At 42.9% G+C, this 8,360-nt stretch overlaps 1 pseudogene; it reads left to right on the top strand.

Moving 5' to 3' along the window:
• The first annotated feature begins 488 nt into the window (after positions 1 to 488).
• LOC124904397 (uncharacterized) lies at positions 489 to 8,360 on the top strand (annotated as a pseudogene).

The raw sequence follows: 8,360 nt of genomic DNA, 5'->3' as shown, positions 1-8,360 counted from the left end.
TGTGGTCACATTCGAAGGCTTCTGAACAGAAGAATGATTAATTTCATGCTTAAAGAGTTCAGGTGTAAATAAACTGGATGGATAAGAAACTCAAAATCAAGAATTTTAAGACACTGGGTTAAGGTGATTGAGCTAAGTCAAAGCCAACAGGGCATGGGCTAAATATTGACATGGGATGGGATGAAGAGGCCAACAATGTTTCAAAGCAGAGGTTGCCGGAGCTTCAGGAACCAGAAGAGGAAGACTTGAGGTGAAATCTGAAACTGCAATCCCCATGCCTGGCTCAAAAGATGTGATACTGACTAGGAAAAGGCTGGAGAGAGAAGCTTCTTTTAAAGAGGTAATAAGGGATTGTTTTGATGTGCTGGGTTGAGGTGAAAATGACAAATATTCAGGTGGAAGTGTCCAGCATTCAAGTAGGATAACTTGGAACAGAAAGCCCAAATTATGTCATGGTGAAATGAGGATAATGTCTTATTAATAAAAACACGTCTTACTAGTCTTTCCTGAGGAACATGAAAGATAGAATTTCAGAAATTTAGAGAATGAAAAAGGAAAGATTACAAGGCAATAAGTTGATTAAAATAGACTAAACTAATCAGTGGCAGCTATCTTAAAGCAAGATATATCTTCTACAGCACTATCTACCCAAATGCAAATCTGGGCAGAGAAATACAAAATATTTTTAGGACTGACAAAATTTCAGCTATATGTCTTTTTAAAAATGCTGCAGAGAGAAATTTAGATGGATTGGACAAATATTTGCATAAGGATTCCACAGCCAACGTACACAATTTTCCAACTACTATGGTTAGCACTGGGCTCAGGCACTACCTTTGCCAACCAGTAGATTTTCAGTATTGCCCCTGGCAGACATCCCATTAGCAATCTCTCCCCATTCCCAAACATTCTCAACTATTCTAGTCATGCCAATTCAACCAATGTCTCTTAAGCCTTACATAAACATTGACTTACACCGAAATGTATCCTATGGCTCTTACTAACTGTAACTTACTTAAATCACCCAAGCCTCTGATTTCCCTGCTATAAAATGTAAAATAGCTGACAAAATACCTATTTGTATTTTTTGGAAACACGGGATAAAGCAAGGCAAGCAAAAAGAACAGCAGAGACAACGCTTAATAAATATCCTAGTAGGATCACCTTAATCCATGAAGAAAATGGAGTTTAATTTTTTTAATACAAAAAAACTCAATGAAGTTATACTTACGTTAAATTGGTGGTTATTTTAGGTCAGTGGTTTTAAAACTCAACAATGAAACTGTTTTCAAAAAGAGTTGTTATACAGAACAGAAAAAAGCAGCCACAATTTTAAAAAAGATATGAAGACCCAGATTCTCACTAACTCATTCAGCTCCCTTCATACTCCCTCCCCACAGCCACCTCAGCTCCTGAGGCAGGTTCCCAGGGCTCCAAGGAACATACTTTTAAAAAATCAGTATTTTGAATATATAATAAGTGATGTAACTTAAAAGTATGGTGAGAAAGTCCCATTGCCAAGAGAAACATGTTAATTTTTTATTTAAAAAACCATCACTCTTTTCATTGTGACATCTTGAAGAACGCTGAATGGCTTCAAAATAACTGCATATGCCAAGATTTCTGGAGTGGGCACGTTTGGTCTTCTTTCATAATGAAAACTGACAAACCTTTTTAAGGGGATAGTATTGTTTCTTCACTCTCCCCCCTCCTCACCCCTGCACACACATACATTTCTCCTTCCTGGGGAACTCCAAAGAAAACAAAGGCCCTTTAGCAATCAAGTAGATTGTCTCTCTTGATGGCATCCCATGAGTTATGGAATTACATACTGCAGGCCCAGGTGGATTAGGGCCCCTAGAAAGTTTGCTTGATCAACAGAGTGCTGTTGATTTTTTCAACTGAATTAATTACTCTTGGAGTCCAAACTCTCCAGTGTGCCACAGTCTTCATCACTTCCTGTATCTTAAATATTGCATTATCTGTCTCCTAAAAGTATTTGAACATGTGACCCAGAGAAGAGGACTTACAACTTGACTAGGCAACTTCTGTCACACTGGATTCATATGAAATTCCACTGCAAGTGACATCACCAGATCGGGGACCCTGAAGTGTTTGAGTATCTTCTCCACATCTGGTCATTTAGGCTAAGAAATTCCTTCTTGTCTACCAGGTCTTTTAGCATTCATTTTGTAAGTCATTCAACACCTACTTACTGAGAAGGAATACTGGGCTAGACAGTGTGCTAGGGCCTGGGGAAACCGCAATGCATAGGAGAGAATTCCCATCTCCAAGAGGCTCACAGTCAAACAGACATAAATAGGTGATTACAATATACACTAACAACATAGTTTTAGAAACAACTAGCAGAATTATATAGACGAAGATGCCAGGAAAGGCTTCTCAGAGAATCTGGCTTGGCAAATATCTCAACAAAGAGGGCTGAGCAGGGATGAGCCGAAGGAGAGGATGGAAAGTAGGTTGTGGGTGAGTTTTCCAGGCAGCATGTGCAAAGGTCCAGGAGAAAGAGGAAGGAGCCTGTACTTGGAGGAATATTCGATTACTATTATCAGTGTCACATTTGCTATTCATCTAGACAGAAGCTCCTGAAACAAAAAGGATACACTTCAAAAGATGCCAATATATCCATGACCACACAAAAGAGTGTCTAGTCATATAATAAAGGGTGTACATATGCAGGCAACTCACATCCTGCCAAATATTAAATTTCTAATTTTATTATAATTTCTAATAAAACATTAGATTTATTATTATACAGAGTCATACTCCTTGATTGGGAAACTCTCAACTCAATAAACATTCTTTAGTCTCATGTCTTTTCTAAAGGAAAGAAATTAATGTTATATTCTTGGGTGAAAAAAATGTGAGGTCTCAAAAGAGTATAATACAATTTGGGGATGCATATATATTTTACATGTATATAGACACATAAAAATCTAAAAGAATAAATTTTAATATGTTAACAGAAGACAGAAGTCATGTATTTTTTACTTTCTTCTTTTTGGCATATCTCTTTTTCTAACTTTTTTTTTTTCTTTTTACAAAAAACAATTGTTATTTGTGTACTTTTAAAACCTCACAGTAATATTTTCACACTACCTTCTTGGCTGAAAGTTCACACTCGGAATTCCAGAGCAGTCCATGGCCAGGCCCACTGGGCTCCCCTTGCTCTCTCCTTGGCTTTGGTAACCACTGGCCCCAGGGACTCAGCCTGCTTTCCTATCCATCCCCTCAGTAGCTGTCACCATGCAGGTTACCCCTTCTGTTTCTTCTACCACTAACTCCATGTCTGACTGCAAGTGAAAGGAACAGAAGCCCAAACCTTTGGGTTTTAAGGAGTTTATTGCTAATCTGTAAAACAGAAAGAGACAGGAGATAAGCATGACAAAATATAGGGAAGAAATGACTTTTGCCTAAACTTCCAAACTGTGTACAATTGAAGCCTCTGCTTTATAGCTCTTAGCACACCTCTCAAATAAGAAGGCAGTACTGGGAAGGCTCTGAACCTGTGGCAGAACCACTGATAGCTGTGGAGCTATTCCAAGGAGTCTGGGAATCAGGGGGATTATCAAGATCATTGTTAGAATAAATTAATCTTACTGTATATATAGCAGAAGTTTTCAAGCATATGTAAATGCTACTAATAACCAAATAATTACACCTTGTTTTTCTTTAAACTGTAACTCTCAAGTATGTCTCTACATAATTTTTTGATGGTAGTGTCTGCATGCTCAAAAAGCTTGAAAACACTACTGGAGAAGAAGGTCTCGGGAGTGTGATGAAATACGTTTACATGGCAGCTTCATCATTTAATTGGTGAAAGTGACTATGTGTCTTAAACTCTCTGAGCCTCAGTTTGCACATCCAAAAGCAAGGATATAATTCCATGAACCTTTCCACCTCAAGTCCACAAGGCAGAATAGCAAGATGTTAACTGCCACTCTGAGGACCACCAAATAAAAGGACAATTTATTAGGCCACTTGCCAGCATGGACACAATCGACTCTTGGCATTTCTTATTATCCACAGAAAAATTAAAAGTATAAATGTAGAACAAAATTAACGTGTTTTTTTTAATAGTAACATGTAAGATCAATCTTTGTCTTTAAAATACCGTGTATCTCATTCTTGGAAAGCGTCAAAATGAAAATGGTATAGTAAGTTTTATCTACAACTTGAATTAAAATTATTCTTGAAATATGTTCTGAATGGTTAGATGAAATGGTAATTAAATACAAATAGAGATAATCATATACTCTCTCTCCATAAGGCTCCCACCTCCTTCAATGAAGTCTAGTTCACCTAAAATGACACTATTAACATTAATTCAATATTATAAGTTGATAAGCACATTAAATCAAAACACAGCAAGATTATTTTAAGAGTCTGACTGGAATGTCAGGATGAGAAATAGATGAATAAATATTGGCTTCTAATGTCGGTAATGAAAACAAACACGTTATTTTCAGAAAATAAAAGGTCTTCGCCATTAGGTACAAATCATAAAGGGATTATCTACGGTTACTACACTGTAACAACTTTTTACATATTGTATTATAGAACAAGCTTTTGAGAAGACAAAGCAACACATCAGCAGTTTAACCAACTGTCTTTCTCTTTTAACAGGCTGGTCTACATTAGATTAGATATAAAAGGCCCAGGTATTACTTGTGTTCGATCTTAGCCAAATGGCTGAGAAACATCCAGGTACATTTAAATCAGTGACAAAAGAAAACATTATCCCTTAGTAAAATTACATAAAATAGGAAACATCTCTTACTTTAAGAGCAACCATGGTACTTGTTCCTATGGTGAAAACTGATGTTATCTCGATTAGTTAATTATTCATCCCAACACCTGGTCTTGCTCCCTTTTCCACCTCTAGCTATGTTAACACTAGAGTTCAGTAATTTGCTGATAAAGAATCTTAACTGCAGTATCTAACAGATCTTAGTGATTAAGCATATGACTTACCCTTTGTACAGATAAGTAAACTGAGGCCAAAAGAACTGAGGTATCTTATTAAAAATCAGAGAGCTAGTTAGTTGAAAAGTCCACCTGTCCTTCCTTTCCACATGTCTCACCAGAAAAACAGCAATGGTGAAAAGTCAACTCTGTTTTTAATGGGCCACTTTGTATATTTTAACTGTTAAAATAATCCAAGAGGATAGTAGTCATATACGAAGATCCTTTAGATATAATGTGTAGGACCAGCATTAATTTAATCAGCCAAGTCTCCTCTCATTGAATTGTTAATTCATAATTACAAAGATGACATTACAGTAAATTAAGAAATACTGTAATTTCATTCTCTCCAAAAAGTATACATTGAAGTTTGGTGAATACTGTTATATTTTCAACTAGTAAATCAATGTGCCAATTCTGGGTCTTAGGCATATTGTATATACTGGAATGATATTCACTTTAATTAAATTTGTTTTGAGATGTAGAATGTAATACAGATCCTACGTGTTTTTAAAAGTTCACATCAATTTCAAGCTTTTAAAAATGTATGTACACAAGAAAGCTTCTTTTGCAATTTATATGTTTACAAATGTTGCCATTAGCTAAGCTATATTTTGGAATGTGATCAAACAATATTGAATGTCAAGTCTTAACAGCAGGGCTGGTCTAAGGAATTCCCTCTAAGCTAAATCTGATCCTTTCATATGTGGCTACTGCTCTTTTAAACTACTGTATCCCTAAAGGGCTAAAAGGAAGAAAATCCTAACTTAATAAGTGAAGGCAGCAAGGCATAGTATTTGAATGGCTACCTTTCATTTTAACTCTACTTCTTAAATTCAAAATTGGATTTGGGTTTGTTTCAAGTTGTTCACAATTTACTAACGAAATGTGCATCTCTCATTCTTCCCCCAAAAGAAAGAAGTCATCCACTCCAGCTACATATAAGTCTCCAATTTCTGTCTTACAACTAAACGTGAAAACCGAAATACCACTCATTGAAAAAAAAAAATGTACAGAGAATTGGCAGGCTGCATGTTTATGTGAACCTTCAGAAAACATGGAAACACGCAGCCCCAACTCACCAGGAAAATCAACACTTGTGATCAAACTATTTTGTGACATTTTATGTCTTTTATACATTTCACTTCATATCCAGTATTCCAGTTTTGCACCGGCTTGCCTGTATCAACCCCAAATCGCCTGAGAGCAATCTAGTACTGTAGCAGAACCGTTTCAACATGAAGAGTTCTGCTCATCGCCTGTGGCGTGGTCTTCGAAACACCTGAATCAAACATTGATTCCCCTCCCCCTGCTATTTAAAACCGAGGGACGTCAGGCTTGGGTTGTAGGTAAAGAAAAGCCACAGTAATCAAACAAGCAACCAAAATACCCGAACACGGAACACGCTAAGAACAAAGGAAACACAAGAGTGTGAACAGGAAATGAAGCAACTCTACACCCATAAATACCTTCTGGGGCCGCCAACATAGGTAAAAGTAAAGGTGGAGTCTGAGTATCTGAAATCTGAAACAGAAAGTCCTGTCAAAAGCTACCCATGGAGTGGATTTGTTTTAACCCCGATCAGGACTTGGGCCCTCCATTTGGTGGAGTCAGGGGAGGCCTGGCCGGGCGGGAGGCGAGGGCTAGAGGGCGGCGAGGTCTCTCCGCGCAGCGTCCGAGGGGATGCGGCGCGCCCCCGACTGGGTGCAGCGGCAGGCCGCCCCCGGCAGCAAGTGCCGGGTGCCATGGCAACGGCGGGAATTTCCCGGTCGGGGAGGCCGGAAGCAGCCCCGCCGGGCTCGCGGCAGCGAAAGCAAAATCCGATCTCTCTCCCAGGGGAGCAAAATGGACGAAAGGCGACCCCCCCAGGCAGGGGCGCTGGGTGCCTTGGGAATCCGAGGAATCCCTTCTCTTTGCCAGTCGGAGGGGACTAGATGGAGCCGAAGGGGCCGGAGATGGGCCGAGCGCTGCCCCCCGGGGGTCCTCGGCGCCGGGCGCAGCTTACGAGCGCAGCGCAGCAGGCTCCATTCCCGGCCGCCACCGCTCAGCCCATTACGCAAACCTGGCGGGTCCAACCAACCCCGCTCTGCCGCCGCTGCTGGAACCCAGGAGGCGTGCTTGCAGGCTTCGGGCACTACGCGGGGCTGGAAATACCACGCACTGCCCCTTCGCCTAGACCCCCGCTCGGGCCACGCGGGTTCTGCCCTCAAAGCTGGTAGCTGCCCCAGACTTGGGGGTGGGGGGAGGGGAAGGGGCGAGGCTGGCGCCCCCTCCCGCTTTTGGCTCCCGCGTTCGTTGCAGCAGCTGTTGCCAAATGAACCCCGGAATGCGGACGTGCAAACCCTCCACCCCACCCCCAGCCACACACGTCGCGGTCAGAGAACTGGGAAGGGGGCGCGGGGTCCGAGGTTCTGGAAAAGCAAGAACTCACCTGCAAACAGGCAGTCCTCAGCTCTGGACTTCTGGATCACGACGTCGATATCCTTCTGAATTCGGTCTTGCCTTGAACACATCCCCATTAAATAAATCCTTGGAAAAGAAGCAGCCGCTATTTCCACCCCACCCCCCTCGCACGCTTTCAGCTTTGGTAAATATTCAGTTAAAAATGAAACCTCTGGCCGAGGCAGGGGCTGAAGGCCAAGTGGTTTCGGAAGTGATCCTGGGTGAGAGGAGGAGAAGGAGGAGGAGGAGGAGGAGGTGGAGGAGGAGGGGGAGGTCGGCTTTCCATTTCCAGATGTTACCGTCCAGCTGCTGCTCGCCGCTGCTGGATTCCAGTTTCCTCCCCTTCTGGCGACGGATTGGTGATGACACCGAGTCTCACTTTCTCCTTCCCCCGCCCGGACCAACCGCCGTGGGGGGCCGAGGGTGCCGGGGACGGCCGGAGAGCGATCACCGGCTGGGCGGCGGGAGCCGACGAGGGGCGAGCCCCGCTCCGGCTCAAGCGCGCACACCCCTCACGGCCCGCACTCCGGCCTTCCACACCCGTGCACACTCTCGCCCGCGGGCGGCGGCAGCCGTGCCCAGGCTGCTGCAGCGCCACCCGCCCGCCGCGGACCCTCCGCGCCCTCCGCCTAGTCACCCGGCCCGGCCGCGGGCCGCCGGGGCTCGCAGAGTGTCAGCCATCCCGGGCAGGAGTCGCGTCTCCCCACCCCGACCTCCACTCGCGCCGGGAGCTGAGCGGCAGTGTAGGTAGTGAAGACTCCCTGGGGCTCCCAGCCTTCCCTCTCCGCGCTCTCCCCCCGTCACTTTTATGAATTCGACTCCACTTTCTAAAGGAATTATGAGTCTTGTGGCAAACACAAACCGGAGTGGCCGGGAAGGGGAAAAGGGGGGAAAAGAAAATCTTTAAAAATTAAAAAAATAATACAAACGAA

Source organism: Homo sapiens, chromosome 1 (assembly GCF_000001405.40).
Source record: "Homo sapiens chromosome 1, GRCh38.p14 Primary Assembly".
Taxonomy (NCBI): domain Eukaryota; kingdom Metazoa; phylum Chordata; class Mammalia; order Primates; family Hominidae; genus Homo; species Homo sapiens.
Note: the sequence above shows the minus strand (reverse complement) of the source record. Positions and strands in the feature narration are given on the sequence as shown.